This window comes from Homo sapiens, chromosome 4 (genome assembly GCF_000001405.40).
Source record: "Homo sapiens chromosome 4, GRCh38.p14 Primary Assembly".
NCBI classification, from domain to species: Eukaryota; Metazoa; Chordata; class Mammalia; order Primates; family Hominidae; genus Homo; species Homo sapiens.
Genome location: NC_000004.12, coordinates 53,736,034 through 53,753,530, shown reverse-complemented (window position 1 = coordinate 53,753,530; position 17,497 = coordinate 53,736,034). Strand labels below are relative to the sequence as shown.

The 17,497-nt window shown below is 39.5% G+C and overlaps 3 annotated features.

Annotated features, from left to right (window-relative positions):
* Window positions 4,874–4,923: an enhancer, noted in NCBI's record as "active region_21570". NCBI's record gives its function as "activates an Ori minimal core promoter by ATAC-STARR-seq in GM12878 lymphoblastoid cells {active_cell/tissue: GM12878}" and the evidence as "EXISTENCE:reporter gene assay evidence [ECO:0000049][PMID:35858748]".
* Window positions 4,974–5,183: an enhancer, noted in NCBI's record as "active region_21569". NCBI's record gives its function as "activates an Ori minimal core promoter by ATAC-STARR-seq in GM12878 lymphoblastoid cells {active_cell/tissue: GM12878}" and the evidence as "EXISTENCE:reporter gene assay evidence [ECO:0000049][PMID:35858748]".
* Window positions 8,522–8,581: a silencer, noted in NCBI's record as "silent region_15431". NCBI's record gives its function as "represses an Ori minimal core promoter by ATAC-STARR-seq in GM12878 lymphoblastoid cells {active_cell/tissue: GM12878}" and the evidence as "EXISTENCE:reporter gene assay evidence [ECO:0000049][PMID:35858748]".

Below are 17,497 nucleotides of genomic sequence, written 5' to 3'. Positions count from 1 at the left end.
TCCTACATGCAGGGAGAAGTATTGACTATTTTATTATGTCATCCATTTTATGCCTACTTATTTACTTTATTAAAGATGCATGCTAAAACACACATTATTTATTGAAAGTTGTTTTATTTTTGTTTCTCTTTTACTTTACAGTTGGGACATTGTGTTGGGTTTTTAAAAGTAATATATGTAGGTATAAAAGCAATAAATTTCATTTCAGGATAATAGATACAGTGGTATGATGCCATTATTATAAAAAAGAATTGTTTACCCCTACTAGAAATCTAAAATTGAAAATACTGACTATACCAAATGTTGGTGAGCATGGGGAGCAACTGGAATGCTCATACACTGCTAGCGGGAATGCAAAATGGTACCATCTCCTTAGAAAACTGTATGACAATTTCTTTGAAAGTTACACGTACACCTACTATATGAGTGAGACATTCTTTTCCTAGAGACTTATTCAAGGGAACCGAAAGCATTTGTTTGATGACATCTACATGAATATTCATAGCAGTTTTATTTGTAATAGCCCAAACTGGAAGCAACCCAAATGTCCATCAACAGGTAAATAGATAAACAAAATTGTAGTATATCCACACAATGGAATTCTACTAAGCAATAAAAAGGAATCAACTATTGGTACACACAAAGCATAAGTAAATTTTAAATAATGTTGCTGAGTGAAAGCAGTCAAACAAAAAAAGTACATACACACAATTATTCCATTTATATAAATTCTGGAAAACACAAACTAACCTAAAGGGATTGAAAGTTAATTAGTGGTTGCCTTGGAATGAAGCAGTGGGGTGGGATGGGTGGGCAGGGGCATGAGGGAAAAATTATGAAAGGACAGGAGAAAACCTTTGAGGGTGATGGCTGTGTTTATTATAATATCTTGATTGTGATGACAGTTTCACAAATATATATATATATATAAAATGTCAAAACTTATCAGATTGTATACTTTAAATGTATGATTTTTTAATATGTCGATTATATCTGAATAAAACTATTAAAGTAAAAAAGGGGACTTTTGTAAATACCCACCCTATTAAATAGAGCTCATACAACATCCTCCACAATCTAGATCCTTACTGCCTTTGTTTAAATAACCATTCTTCTGGGTGGTGGATCTCAACAGTCTAAGTTAATTAGGGTGGTTTTATTCCTTGTTTCCCCAGGGAATGGATTGGGTGTGGCCATAAATAACCATTCTGGACAATGAGATATGAGGGAAAGTCATGAGGAGGCTTCTGAGAAATGTTTACTTCCTTAGAAGAAAGAAACAGAAAGGGAAGTACCCTTTTCTTTCTCTTGACATAGGTGTGTCCAGATGTGATGTGTGAAGTTTTTGCAGCCATCTTATGACCACGAGGGATAGCAATTTGCGAACATAGCTAATACATGGAGGAAGGCAAAACAGAGATGAAAGAAACCGGGTCCTTTATATCGGGAGTCCCCAACCCTGGGCTACGGACTGGGCCACACAGCAGGAAGTGAGCAGTGGGGGAGCAAGCATTACCACCTAAGCTCTACCTCCTTTCAGGTCAGTGGCAGTATTAGATTCTCAAAGGAGCACGAACCCTGTTGTGAACTGTGCACGTGAGGGATCTAGTTTGCATGCTCCTTATGAGAATCTAACTAATGCCTGATGATCTGAGGTGTAACAGTTTCATCCCGAAACCATCCTGCAACCTAGCCTGTGGAAAGATTGTTTTCCACAAAACCTGTCTCTGGTGCCAAAAAGATTGGGAGCTGCTGCTTTATAACATTGTCCAACTGTTGAATTAATGAGCCTGCAATATCTCTAGACTCTATATTATGTTATGTAATAAGTACCTTTATCATGTAAGGCTATTGAGTTTAGGTTTTTACTACATGCAGCCAAAAGCATTCTAACTGATATACGCCTGATCTTTTTAAGACTCAGCTCAAGCACTGCCTCTCCCAAGAAGGCTTCCCTGATAGCTGCTGTCTTCTGTACCTAGACTGGGTTACATACCCCTGCTCTGTATTCTCAGGACATCCTCTTATGGCCATTTTTTTTTGTGGTGTATGTAATTATCTATCTACAGTTCTCCCCCTGCATTGGACTGGCAACATCTCAGGACAGGACCATGTTTTCTTTATCTCTATTTTACCAAAACCTAAAGAGTAATTAACACATAGTAGGCATGTAATGTATACAGATGAACTGAATTGAAACTCTCCTGCTCACCTTATCCTACACTAACCAATAGGTCTCGCTGCCTTCCAGTCATTCCCAGCCTACATAATTCTCATACCTAAGAATTTCCTTCTTCTCTACTTCAATCTTTTGTAGTTTCTTTTCCCTGACATATTTAGAAAATGTAGTTATATTTGAGGTCTCCCTGAACTTACAAAAGGCCATACTCCAGGTGTGCCCCTGCAGGCTGGGAGGGAAGAAGGAAAAGGGGCTTGTCTCTTTCCCCACGTTTTGGGCATTGCCTCTCCAATTTCTACCCACGGTGACCTTGGCTCTTGGGGGGAGCAGCAGCTGTTCTGTCCACAGTGTGACAGCAGACTGAAAGAACTTTGAGTTTTCACCTGTTCTCCCCTGTCCCCTCCTTCAAGGCCCCTTGGCATTATGTTACTGCACATTTTGGCCCAAGTCTGCCAAGATTTCTAAGTTCTCAGTATTTGATTCTTTTCTATATCTTGCTATTTTGCAACAGCACCAACTCCAATGACACTGACAGGTAATGTTTTCCTGCCTCCCAGATCATTACCAGTGAAAAAGATGTAAGCCCAGAACAGGCCAACCCCCCAACCCCCACTACTCCCAGGGGCTTCGGCTGGATATTTTTCTCCCCCTCCCTGGAACCTCGGGCTGGAGGCAACACCATTCATCATTTTTTTGGCTGCAAATTCTGCAATATTATGGTTTCCATTTTTGGAAAAAAAGACTTCTTTTTAAAATTTATAGTATAAAATGGCATAGTCTCTTTCCCCTTCCCTTTTTTTATTCCCCTCTCTCTCTGTCTTCTGTATCTTTCCAGATTAGTGCCTAAAAACACAGACTCTGAAATGAAATGATCTGATTTGGGATCCTTGTTTTATCACTGAATAGCTAAGTAGTCTTTGGAAATAAACCTTCTGTACCTCGGTTCCTTCAGCTCAAAAGTGGTGATAATTGTTCTATACCTATCTCATAGAGTGGTTTTAAGTGTTAAAACATAACATAAAAAGGGCTTATAAGGATGCGTAGTACAAGGTAAGTACAATATAGGTGTTAAATGTTATATTACTACTACCACTACCACTGATACCATAGCTAGCATTATTGAGGGCATACTATTTATTATGTGCCTGATATTTACTATGCTAAACTCTTTAAAAACACTGGTCTCTTAAATTTGTATTAAGTCTTAAGAGGTGATTGAAAAAAAGTTTTTGAATGCTCTGTGGAAGGCACTTTTATATGCTCTTTACTCTGATTTTATTATGTAATTTTCACTACAACCCTATAAGGTAGTTATCATTAAGGTGCAGCCGTCACAGATGATGAAACTGAGGCACAGATTAAATGGTTTGCCAAAAACCAAGTCTTAAATTTATATCTCTCTAAACCGGTGGTTCTCAAATATTAATACACATCAGAATCACCTGGTGGGCTTATTAAAACACTGATTGCTGGACTCCAGCTCCAGAGTCTCTGATTCAGTAAGTGTGGGTGGGGTCTGAGAATTTGCATTTCTGGTAAGTTCCTGGGTGACGTTGACACTGCTAGTCTGGGAGACGGGGTTTCCTATTCTGAGATCCACTGTATTTTTTTTTTTTTTTTTGAGACGGAGTCTCGCTCTGTCACCCAGGCTGGAGTGCAGTGGTGTGGTCTCAACTCACTGAGCCTCCCAAGCTCAAGCGATTCTTGTGCCTCAGACTCCTAAGTAGCTGAATCTACAGGTGTGTGCCACCATGCCCGGTTAATTTTTGTATTTTTAGTAGAGACAGGATTTCACCATGTTGGCCAGTCTGGCCTCTAACTCCTGACCTCAGGTGATCCTCCCACCTCAGCCTCCCAAAGCGCTGGGATTTCAGGTGTGAGCCATTGTGCCTGGCCAACATCCGCTGTATTAATGGCAAGTGCTGCTTTACCGTTAAAACAGGCACAATCCATAGTTGATATCTTGAATTTTGCCAACTATCTTAACTAGGAGTCATATTTCTCATCACAGGAACTGAAGAAAATAATTTATGTTCATCACTCCACTCACAGTGTCCTGGGGACATTATGAGTTCAGTTCAGTCTTCCTTACATGCTGGCTTCCAGCTAGCACTCAAGGAAACGGACTCTCACTTAGCATCCCATTCTCTGGTTATGGTGATCTCTTTGTTTTGATTTATATTATTTCATTATTTTCTGTCTTTTTCCACAAAGATGTTATTTATTTCACCAGCTGTCCTTGCAAATGGACCATGAGTCTGAGCACTGAAGCTGCTGACATTGTAGATTTTAAAGGCCCTTACGTGGAGAGGCACAGGAAACCCGAGAAAATGAAGCACCACGTTGGTTAAAGGGTTTGGGTGTTTCCCTTATTAACAGTGGATGATCATCAAATATAAGAGATCTCCAGACCATCAGAATAGAGATCCTGAAACTGGCAAACATAATCCATACTAGTTGTGCCAGTTATCAACCCATTTCCTCTCAGCTCCAAATGCATCCATCTTTGCTCTATTGGTGGTAGCGGGACTGGACCCTGTAAACATTTCTCCTTTCCCAACTGCCGAAGTGTTAGCCTAATTGTCAATAGAGGGTACTGGGGTGTTGCTGTAAGGTCATAGCAGAGGAAGAGGCTTATCTTCAGTTATGGTGCTCTTACTCTCTTATGGTACAGCTGTCAGCAAACAGGCAGACAGGAGGCCCAAGTCGTTCACTCTCTAGTGAGTTTCTCCTGCACCCAGCAGACCACTTCCTGTAGACCAGCTGTGACCCCTCAGCTGCCTGCAGGTTGTTTCTTATAAGTCAGCTCCAGTCCCCTGGTACCCCAGCTGGCCATGTCCTGCTCTCCAGCTCAGCCCACCAGCTCGCTCCAGTGAACTTAGCCACCCAGTTTCAGTTCCTGCAAACCAGCTGCAGCTTGCCTGCACCTTCTAGAGTGTCTCAACCACCTAGCAAGCTGTTCCTACAGACCAGCTCTGGCCAAACTTTCTGACAAGTTTCTTTACCACTGAGAGGCTACATGTTTCTGTGTCAGCCACAAGATACCCACTGAGGGCTGAATTCAGCCTTGGAGGAGGGACCTTCTTTCATGTTCTTAATTCTTTATGTTATGTTCTCTCCATTCTAGAGGTAGGAGCTTCTTCTCTATATTCTCTAGTTCTCTTTTAGTAGTTAATTGCATTTTACTAGCTCATAATTCTGTATATTACATTTTTTCTGTTCAAATTACTGGTGTGTAGCTATCTCCTGACTAGACCTTACAGAATTGATACCAGTAGTGGTCCTAAAAGACAGACCCTCACACATGAGATTTGGTACTAGTTTGATCATGATTTTAGGCTTCAGTGCAGAGACAATTTCTTTGCCAGTGGGAAATTGATACTAATAATCCATGGCAGGTAATAGCTTTGCAATTAATCAAACTATGGTAATTGTGATGAAGTGCAAACTAAAGCAAGGACTATGATGTTGGATGGATCCTCTGGAGTGTACTGTAGCATTTACAGAAAGCAAATGACAGGCTAAAATTCCTTTAATTTTCAGTTCAAGTCATGAGTGGCAAACTAGACATTTCTAGGGCAGCCCAAAAATAATCTTTTATTTATTATGGCCACAGGCTGATATTGATAAAAATCAAACATAAAATTTAATTGGGAGGCTTGCAGAATTACAATTTCAGTTGGATTCACAGCCTTGCCAAATTTCTGATGTAAAAGATAGGAAATCAAATGGGAAAGCATGAGACACTGAAACTTGGAGTGAGGCATCAGGTTAGAACTGATTCTAAACACACCCACGTCACTCTGAGCCTCCCTTGCTTGTTCTTCTGTGTTTGGGGAGACCACGCTTTCTTTGGTTGAAAGCCCTGCAGTAACCTCCGCTGGGATAGCAATGTTCCGAGGGGATGCTCATTTTCCACAAGACTACAACAACTGCCCCCGTTGCCACTACACCAATAACTAGGTTCAAATCACAGTGTGCCCCAGATCAGGAACATATGATGACCCAGGAGGAAATGACTTATATACACTGCATGATTTTGCTCATATATATGAGCAGAAACCTAAAAAATATATGTGGAGTAGATTTTGTAAAATATAATGCTAGATCATTATCACTATGTCTTTTCTTTGAGGCATAACCAGGGTCCTTTTTAAAAATGAATAAACAAACAAACAAACTTTATTTTATGGAAGCTATGTGAGGATAGCCCTAATAGAAACTAGTAATGTATTATGATCCTGCAGTATTTGAGACAAAATTATATTAGTACATGAAGAGACAGAATGATTACTGGAACAAAATAGAGCCCAGAGAAATACTTAAGTATGAATGGGAATGTGATTTGTAAAAATGGTGACATTTCAGGTAAGGGTCAAATAATAAATAAATCAATAAATAGTGTGACAATAGACTAGTGATCTGAGGGGATAAAAGAAAGAGACAGGAGAGAGAGAGAGAAAAAAAGGAAGCTGAATCCTTACATCATTTCTTACCTAAAATAAATTTCATCTTGGTCTATTTTTGCAACATAAAAAAAATTATGAAAGCATTAGAATAAAGGCAGTATTTTATTTTCTTGGAATAATAAAGATCTCTTAAAGTGTGACATAAAACCCAGAAGCTATGAAGAATAGATTTATAAATTTGATCACATAAAATGTAACAGAGCAAAACAAAGCCCAAAGACAAAACAATAAACTGAGAAATGTTACTGTCACCCATATTGTAGACAAAGACTGATTTATTTAATTTTACTACTATAAGCTATGAAAGGAAAATAAATCTTGGGACCCCAAACTCACTAAGCCAAAGGGAAAAATCAAGCTGGGAACTGGGTCACACAAACCTGCCTCCCACTTTTTTTCCTAAATAAGATGGCTACACGATGAAAAGCTACACATCTCCCTCATAGTTTGCCCACAAGGAAATTCCTTGTGGGCCCCAAGATCTTTACCTTAAAGCATTTCTGTTAAAATTCACCATGGCAATATAAATTGATAGCTTATCTTCACAGGTGTGGGGACATAGGACAGAACTCAAAGTCATCCCTCTGCCCACCTGACGCAAACGCATATCTTATTGTTTCCTCTGCCCTATTGTCTATGCTATCATATGTAAAAATTCACATTCACTGAGCCAGACAAAGGCATAAGTGACTATTTTTTCCCCTACTGCCCCTCTTGCATGCAAATTGTGTATATCTCAATATCCCCCTCTTTTCCCCTTTAAATTTGAAGCCCTCAAAATCATATTCGAAGAAAGGCATAGACCTGTCTCCCAGGCACACATCCTTAGCTTCGGCAAATAAGCCCCCTAAAATGATTGAGACTTGTCGAGGTCATTTTTCTTGATTGACAAAGCCAAAAAGAAAAACAGGTGAAAACCAAGGAGAAAAACGGACCAAAGATAAAAGCAAGCAGCTCATAATAAAAGACAGCTCATTATAAAGGAAGTACAAGTGGCAATTCACAATACAAATGGATGCCCAACTCTACTTGGAATTCAGGAACATCCATGAAAACAACATAAGGAAAACTGTATGAAGATGGCTGGCACCAAGTGTTGATGAGGGTAGGGAAAGGATAACTTTGGGTGAAAGCACAAATTGATTCAGTCTTTGAAAGTATAGTGAGTCAAATCTATTAAAATTTAAAATGTGTATGCCTTTAGACCTAACTCTAAAACATTTAGGAAAGATATGCTCACACACTTGCACAAGGGTATTTGAACAAGATGCTTACTGCTGTTTGTACTAGTGAGAAAAATGCTGGAAACAAGCTGAATGCCCATCTCTAGAGAACCAGTTAAATAAATCATGTTACACCCACATGATGAAACACAGTAGATCCATTTTAACAATGAGTATAAACACCAAAAGGTAGCTGTAGCATATTAAGTAAAAAAGCAACCTTCTGAAGAGTATGTATTGTGTAATCTCATCTGTGTTTTTAAAAAAGTATATAAATATAAATCTCTAGGAAAAGTCTGGAAGACATACTAAAAATTGTTAACAGTTTTTACCTCTGGTGAATGGGATGGGGGAGGCTGTGTTTGATGAAGAGCATGAGATTCATACTTCTTATTTTTTATAGTACTGAACTGTTTAACTTTAGTAAGTATGATTCAATTTTATATTTAAAAAATAACTTGTCCCCCCATTTTTTAAAAAAGAGTTTTCCTTTCTCTTCCTTCCTTGGCAGTTTTCTTCTCCTTGCTCTGGAGAATTGCTCAGAATAAATACTCTCAAGCTCTGACCAGGTGGGATGACCCCAGGAGGTACAGGAGAAGTAACTGACTGGGCTAGAGGCAGGAGAACTGAGTTCCTTTTCTTAGTTTTGCCTCCATCTCACAGTAGATCTCCAGCAACTCACTGAATCTCTGCTAACCTCGGTTTCTTCCTGTGCAAATGAGGCTGTAGGGTAACGTTCCTCTCAAGGTCTCATCAGCTTGGTGGCTGAGCAGTGACCTTCTGTTCACCAGCTTTCCAGCCCCACTCCCTGGCTCCTGAGCTCCATCTCCTGCCTTATATGGGAGGCTCCAGCAGCGCCACCGTTCACACAGAGGTGCTGCTGACACTGATGGACAACAGAGGGCTTTTATTCCACCCCACACCTGCTCTATTTGGGGGCTGCTATCAGCCATTTCACATCTCAAATTTGCCTTTGTTATCTAAATGGCCTCTTTGGGGCTAGAAAGCAGATGCTCTGAGTCATTAAGGAGAGCTGTCTCTGTCTAGGTTTGAAGTGGGTTTCTCTGAATAATTCTGTCACTCAAACACCTGGGTGGCTCTTACATTGAGCCTACAGATGGTTAGGACACCTATCTGTGGAAGGACTGTAGTCACAGGCCCAATGTTCAACTATATAAAGATGACATGCAAAACTCCATAATCAGGACATTGTGTGGGTTTGTGTGAACACGTGTGTGTGTGTGTGTGTGTGTGCATGCACTACCTTTTACTAAGCACTCCCTATGTGCCTGCCAGAATACTTAATGCTTTATGTGGGATACATCATCTAGTCCTCTAACAATCTTAAGAACTATGTATTATTAACCCCATTTTACAGATAGGGAAAACTGAGACTCAGAGAGAGAAAGCAACTTGCAAACTCACTTACAATAGACCAGTTTGGTTTTGAGATGTTGAGTCAAAGGGTATACACAAACTTTCCCCATCTATATCAAGCCTGTGCCCTTGTTTTGCTTTTGGCAAGGAAATAACAGGTCACCCAAGACACCGCAGTGTTTACTGGACTAGGATGAAGTTCATTGCTGACTTCTCTTGATTCTTCCCCATCCTGCTCCCCACCACCTGCCCAACCACAAACAAAATTTGACTATTCCACTTTCTTTCTTCACCAGATATTTGTTTAAATAAATAAAAACCTTCTAGTTGTCAGTATTTGCCAAGTTGTGGCAGTTGGGTGGGGGAGACGAGGGCCAAGACCGAAGAGACGAGGTATAAAGTCAATGTTTATGTGTCATTTAAAATATGGTCTGTGTATGTGTCAGAAGTTTGCACAAATCTCTGAATCAATTTTGTTGATTTGGGCACTTTCTGGAGGATAACCAACATATCTTGAAATATGGGGCTACAAAAAAATTTCACTGGGGTTCATTTTTCAGCGACAGGTTCCAGCTTATCTCTAGTGCCTCCATTCCGAAAATCATAAGCATATGTCCTGCTGCTATTGAGAATAAATTTGTCAAGACAACAAGCTGGCATAGACAAGGGCAGTGTGCAAAACAGGAAACCATTGCAAATGCTTCTATACTCCTCCAGGAGACAAATTACTTTGCATCTTTCACTAGGAACAACTATAGAAGTTAGTATTTTATTTCCTAGACCTAGAAAAGCCTAATTGGTGCCCATATGTCATACTGTAAGATTTCTTCCAGCCCTTTCAAGTGTGCTGCAAGATTAGGATGGGGGAAAAAAGAATAATTGAGCTCTCCTGTGGGTGAGATGACGCCATATGAGAATATACAGACTCCATTTCTAAACTGTTTGGGTATCACGTTGACTTTTTCTTGATTCTTTGTTAGTCCTCTCTCATCCTCACAACCAAAACTCCACCAAGCCTTTGCACCTTCCCCCACAATATAAAAGCCCCAAATCACTTCTTTGTAAGCCTTAAGTTTATTCTAGAGCCCTTGGTTAGTTTTGTAATATCCCAGAAGAAGGTACACATAAGCTTTTTAAGAGGACAAAAGAAATAAGAAATTCATTATTAGTGAATATGAAGAACTTTTCTGGGAAGGTGCAATGAACGGAATATGTGTGTGTCTTCCCCTCAAATTCTTATGTTGAAATCTGCACCTCCACGGTGGTGGTATTAGGGGATGGGGCTTTTGTTAGATGAAGGTGGAAAGCCTTCCCCATGAAGGTGGAACCCTGATGAATGGAATTATTTCCCTTATAAAAGAGGCCTTAGAGAGCTAGCCAGCCCCTTCTGCCATGTTAAGGACACAGCTAGAAGGTGCCATCTATGAACCAGGAAGTGGGTCCTCACCAGACCCTGAAATTGCTGGCAACTTGATCTTGGACATCCAGTCTCCAGAGCCGTGAAAAATAAATTTCTATTGTTTAGTAGCCACCAGTCTATGGTATTTTGTTATAGCAGCTCAAATGGACTAAGATAGAGGGCAGGGATTTTTGTGAATTTTCTTCACTCTACATCTCCAACATCTAAGAAAAAGCCAGACACATTCTTGGTGTTCAATAAATATTTGTTGAATTAATAAATAAATTATAGTGGACATTTGTAGTTGTTGCCTTTCTGCATTCATTCCTATCTTTCTGCTAAGAGCACCCTAAACCTTCTTTGGGGAATCTCTCTTTTCTCACCCTTAGTGCACATGGTTTAGGTACAACTGATTCATCCCCAGCTGCAAGGCAGAGGCATGTCCCAGGTCTGAGCCACGGGCCACCGTGATTGGTTCAGAGATGGTACATGATTCAGTGAAAGTCCAACGAGGGCCAATCTCCAGTTCTGATGGGAACACTGGGGATATGGAGTTTTTTCCCACTGGAACTGCTATCTCTAAGGACAGTATAAGCCAAGAGATTTAGGGTTCACCTCACAGAGAGATCCTTTCTAGGAGTCAACACAATACAGAAAAAAACAAAGCCAGAGATGGAGATAAAGTGTGAGTTCTATGTATGTTATTTAACCCTTGCATTTAACTATATCTGGGACCCAAAATCCTTTGGAGTTTTTAAGTTATATGACCCAATAAACCCCCTTAAGCCAAATGAGTTTCTGAAAAATCTAATGTTTAAAAATAATAATAAAATTAAGAAATGAATTAGGGAAATGTCAATTATTTTACCATCCTGGTAACTATGGTTTCTCTTAAAGTGTGTCAGTACTTGACACACACTAGTCAAGAATAAGGCTCCTGTTTCAAAGAGACCCCAAAATACCACAACTTAAAGAAGATGGACATCTTTCCCCCATGCAGAAATCTGGGAGGCAATACAGGGCTTTAATTGTGGCTTAACAAGGATTCGATCTTGTTACTTTGTCATCCTCAAAGTGCAGCTTCTCTTTCATGGCCCAAGAGGGCAGTTCAAGTTCCTGCTATCAGGTGTCCTCCTGCCAGCTGAAAGGGAAAGGGGAGGAAGAGGAAGATGTGTACAGATAAAAGGCATCATCAACTTGGAGAAAGGTGCAGGTGGGTGGACCAGAAGAGAAATCAAAAATAATCCTTCCTTCCCCTCTCTCGTTTTCTTTCTCCAAGCATTTATTGAGCACTCACTGTATACCAGGTACTATGTTGAGTGCTGGGAATACAACATTAAATAAGGCTGATTCAGTCCATACCTTACTGGAGCTTATACTTCTGCGTAAGTGTATTAGTCTGTTTTCACACTGCTGATAAAGACATACCTGAGACTGGGTAACTTATACAGAAAAAGAGGTTTAATGGACTCAAAATTCCACCTGGCAGGGGAGACCTCACAATCATGGCAGAAGTTGATAGGCACGTCTTACATCACAGTAAGCAAGAGAAAGAATGAGAACCAAGCAAAAGGGGTTCCCCTTATAAAATGATCAGATCTTGTGAGACTTATGGATGACCATGAGAACAGTATGAGGGAAACCACCCCCATGATTCAATTATCTCCCACTGGGTCCCTCCCACAACACATGGGAATTATGGGAGCTACAATTCAAGATGAGATTTGGATGGGGACACAGCCAAGCTGCATCAGTAAGTTATCTTAAAATGCCAGAGGTCCAATTTCAGATGGTGGCAGCTTCTAGGGAAAGATCTGGGCTTTTCTCTTTATAAGATTTAGAAAACTCAGCCAGGCCAAACTACTAAGACCTAGTGGCTTTCAGTCTTCTGTCCCAGTGGCTACCAAAGTAGCAAAAGATCTGCTACCTCCATTTCCATTTTGTGTCATACACAGTCCCATGCATACACAGTTATGCACCATATAACAACATTCCAGTCAACGCTCAACCACATATATAACAATGGCTCCATAAGATTGTAATACTTTATTTTTACTGTACTTTTTTATTTTTTATTTTATTTTATCTTATTATTATTATACTTTAAGTTTTAGGGTACATGTGCACATCGTGCAGGTTAGTTACATATGTATACATGTGCCATGCTGGTGTGCTGCACCCATTAACTCGACATTTAGTATTAGGTATATCTCCTAACGCTATCCCTCCCCGCTTTCCCCCACCCCACAACAGTCCCCAGAGTGTGATGTTCCCCCTCCTGTGTCCATGTGTTCTCATTGTTCAATTCCCACCTATGAGTGAGAACATGCTGTGTTTGGTTTTTTGTTCTTGCGATAGTTTACTGAGAATGATGATTTCCAGTTTCATCCATGTCCCTACGAAGGACATGAACTCATCATTTTTTCTGGCTGCATAGTATTCCATGGTATATATGTGCCACATTTTCTTAATCCAGTCTATCATTGTTGGACATTTGGGTTGGTTCCAAGTCTTTGCTATTGTGAATAGTGCCAAAATAAACATACGTGTGCATGTGTTTTTATAGCAGCATGATTCATAATCCTTTGGGTATATACCCAGTAATGGGATGGCTGGGTCAAATGGTATTTCCAGTTCTAGATCCCTGAGGAATCGCCACACTGACTTCTACAGTGGTTGAACTAGTTTACAGTCCCACCAACAGTGTAAAAGTGTTCCTATTTCTCCACATCCTCTCCAGCACCTGTTGTTTCCTGACTTTTTAATGATCGCCATTCTAACTGGTGTGAGATGCTATCTCATTGTGGTTTTGATTTGCATTTCTCTGATAGCCAGTGATAGTGAGCATTTTTTCATGTGTTTTTTGGCTGCATAAATGTCTTCTTTTGAGAAGTGTCTGTTCATGTCCTTTGCCCACTTTTTGATGGAGTTGTTTGTTTCTTTCTTGTAAATTTGTTTCAGTTCATTTTAGATTCTGGATATTAGCCCTTTGTCAGATGAGTAGGTTGCAAAAATTTTCTCCCATTTTGTAGGTTGCCTGTTCACTCTGGTGGTAGTTTCTTTTGCTGTGCAGAAGCTCTTTAGTTTAATTAGATCCCATTTGTCAATTTTGGCTTTTGTTGCCATTGCTTTTGGTGTTTTAGACATGAAGTCCTTGCCCATGCCTATGTCCTGAATGGTAATGCCTAGGTTTTCTTCTAGGGTTTTTATAGTTTTAGGTCTAACATGTAAGTCTTTAATCCATCTTGAATGAATTTTTGTATAAGGTGTAAGGAAGGGATCCAGTTTCAGCTTTGTACATATGGCTAGCCAGTTTTCCCAGCACCATTTATTAAATAGGGAATCCTTTCCCCATTGCTTGTTTTCTCAGGTTTGTCAAAGATCAGATAGTTGTAGATATGCGGCATTATTTCTGAGGGCTCTGTTCTGTTCCATTGATCTATATCTCTGTTTTGGTACCAGTACCATGCTGTTTTGGTTACTGTAGCCTCTTAGTGTAGTTTGAAGTCAGGTAGCGTGATGCCTCCAGCTTTGTTCTTTTGGCTTAGGATTGACTTGGCAATGGGGGCTCTTTTTTGGTTCCATATGAACTTTAAAGTAGTTTTTTCAAATTCTGTGAAGGAAGTCATTGGTAGCTTGATGGGGATGGCATTGAATCTATAAAATACCTTGGGCAGAATGGCCATTTTCACAATATTGATTCTTCCTACCCATGAGCATGGAATGTTCTTCCACTTGTTTGTATCCTCTTTTATTTCATTGAGCAGTGGTTTGTAGTTCTCCTTGAAGAGGTCCTTCACGTCCCTTGTAAGTTGGATTCCTAGGTATTTTATTCTCTTTGAAGCAATTGTGAATGGGAGTTCACTGATGATTTGGCTCTCTGTTTGTCTGTTATTGGTGTATAAGAATGCTTGTGATTTTTGCACATTGATTTTGTATCCTGAGACTTTGCTGAAGTTGCTTATCAGCTTAAGGAGATTTTGGGCTGAGACGATGGGGTTTTCTAGATATACAATCATGTCATCTGCAAACAGGGACAATTTGACTTCCTCTTTTCCTAATTGAATACCCTTTATTTCCTTCTCCTGCCTAATTGCCCTGGCCAGAACTTCCAACACTATGTTGAATAGGAGTGGTGAGAGAGCGCATCCCTGTCTTGTGCCAGTTTTCAAAGGGAATGCTTCCAGTTTTTGCCCATTCAGTATGATATTGGCTGTGGGTTTGTCATAGATAGCTCTTATTATTTTGAGATACGTCCCATCAATACCTAATTTATTGAGAGTTTTTAGCATGAAGGTTGTTGAATTTTGTCAAAGGCATTTTCTGCATCTATTGAGATAATCATGTGGTTTTTGACTTTGGTTCTGTTTGTATGCTGGATTACATTTATTGATTTTCATATATTGAACCAGCCTTGCATCCCAGGGATGAAGCCCACTTCATCATGGTGGATAAGCTTTTTGATGTGCTGCTGCATTCAGTTTGCCAGTATTTTATTGAGGATTTTTGCATCAATGTTCATCAAGGATATTGGTCTAAAATTCTCCTTTTTCGTTGTGTCTCTGCCCGGCTTTGGTATCAGGATGCTGCTGGCCTCATAAAATGAGTTAGGGAGGATTCCCTCTTTTTCTATTGATTGGAATAGTTTCAGAAGGAATGGTACCAGTTCCTCCTTGTACCTCTGGTAGAATTCGGCTGTGAATCCAGCCGGTCCTGGACTCTTTTTGGTTGGTAAGCTATTGATTATTGCCACAATTTCAGAGCCTGTTATTGGTCTATTCAGAGATTCAACTTCTTCCTGGTTTAGTCTTGGGAAGGTGTATGTGTCGAGGAATTTATCCATTTCTTCTAGATTTTCTAGTTTATTTGCATAGTGGTGTTTGGAGTATTCTCTGATGGTAGTTTGTATTTCTGTGGGATCGGTGGTGATATCCCCTTTATCATTTTTTATTGCGTCTATTTGATTCTTCTCTCTTTTCTTCTTTATTAGTCTTGCTAGCGGTCTATCAATTTTGTTGATCCTTTCAAAAAACCAGCTCCTGAATTCATTAATTTTTTGAAGGGTTTTTTGTGTCTCTATTTCCTTCAGTTCTGCTCTGATTTTAGTAATTTCTTGTCTTCTGCTAGCTTTTGAATGCGTTTGCTCTTGCTTTTCTAGTTCTTTTAATTGTGATGTTAGGGTGTCAATTTTGGATCTTTCCTGCTTTCTGTTGTGGGCATTTAGTGCTATAAATTTCCCTCTACACACTGCTTTGAATGTGTCCCATAGATTCTGGTATGTTGTGTTTTTGTTCTCATTGGTTTCAAAGAACATCTTTATTTCTGCCTTCATTTCGTTATGTACCCAGTAGTCATTCAGGAGCAGGTTGTTCAGTTTCCATGTAGTTGAGCGGTTTTGAGTGAGTTTCTTAATCCTGAGTTCTAGTTTGATTGCACCGTGGTCTGAGAGACAGTTTGTTATAATGTCTGATCTTTTACATTTGCCGAGGAGAGCTTTACTTCCAACTATGTGGTCAATTTTGGAACAGGTGTGGTGTGGTGCTGAGAAAAATGTATATTCTGTTGATTTGGGGTGGAGAGTTCTGTAGATGTCTATTAGATCTGCTTGGTGCAGAGCTGAGTTCAATTCCTGGGTATCCTTGTTAACTTTCTGTTTCGTTGATCTGTCTAATGTTGACAGTGGGGTGTTAAAGTCTCCCATTATTATTGTGTGGGAGTCTAAGTCTCTTTGTAGTGTACCTTTTTAATGTTTAGATACACAGATACCAATTTGTTATAATGACCACAGTATTCAGTAGAGTTACATGCTGTACAGCTTTGTAACCTAAGAGCATTAGGCTATACCTTCGAGGATGTGTGGGTTCACTCTGTGATGTTTACACAGCAACAAAATCATATAACAACACATTTCTCAGAACATATTTCCATCATGAAGTAATGCATGACTATATTAATTTTCTCTATCATGTGTATGTTATAAATCTTTTATCTTTAACTATGCTATTAAAAACTGTCTCTTTTCAAAGTAATTTTAGACAATTGCAGAATGCAAGAGATTTTTTTTGTCTATAAAATGGAGCTAATGATGCTTCCTACTGCATAATATGTTGTGAAAATTAAATGAGATTATATGTGTAAACTTCTAAGCAGAGTAAATATGTTGACTCTTTCTAAAATCATTTTTATTATATTTTCTGATCAGAGATCATTATTTTTCTCTCTCCCTAATTCTATTTAGGTCACCTGGAAGAGAAGGTGTCTGGATTTTTTTCCAATGAGTACATATTACTTTTATGTTTAACAATTTAATATGCAAGAATAATAACTTTTTGTGTTTTAAAAAATGAAACAGCTCATTATAAAGTAAGCAATGAAGAAAAGTAAAAATAATTTTTATTAGTAACCCCAAATGATTATTATTAGGTGGATATTTCACATCTTTCTAAGTAGATATATAGATTACAATGTTTTCAGTTTCAAAAATATATGTAAAATCCAAGTCGAATTGCTTTAACACATGGAAATGTATTGATTTGTGTAACCGACATCCAGAGACAGAGTGATCTTCAGGGTTGGCCTGATCCAGCTTCCAGTCGCTGTCTATGGGGCAGAAGTCTTCACTTGCAGTGGTGAAAAATGTCTGTAGCAGCTCCAGGTTTTGCGTCTTTAAACCAACAAGTCCAGAGGGAGAGAGGGAGTTTCCTATGGTGAGCTTCTCTTAAAAGCTGAGAAGCTCCTTCTTCAGAATTCTCCGCCAAGCCTTCCTTCATGTTTCACTGGCCTGAGCTGGGTCACAAGCCCATTCCAGATTCTACTGCAGGAATATGCCACACCCTGGTTGGTTTTGACC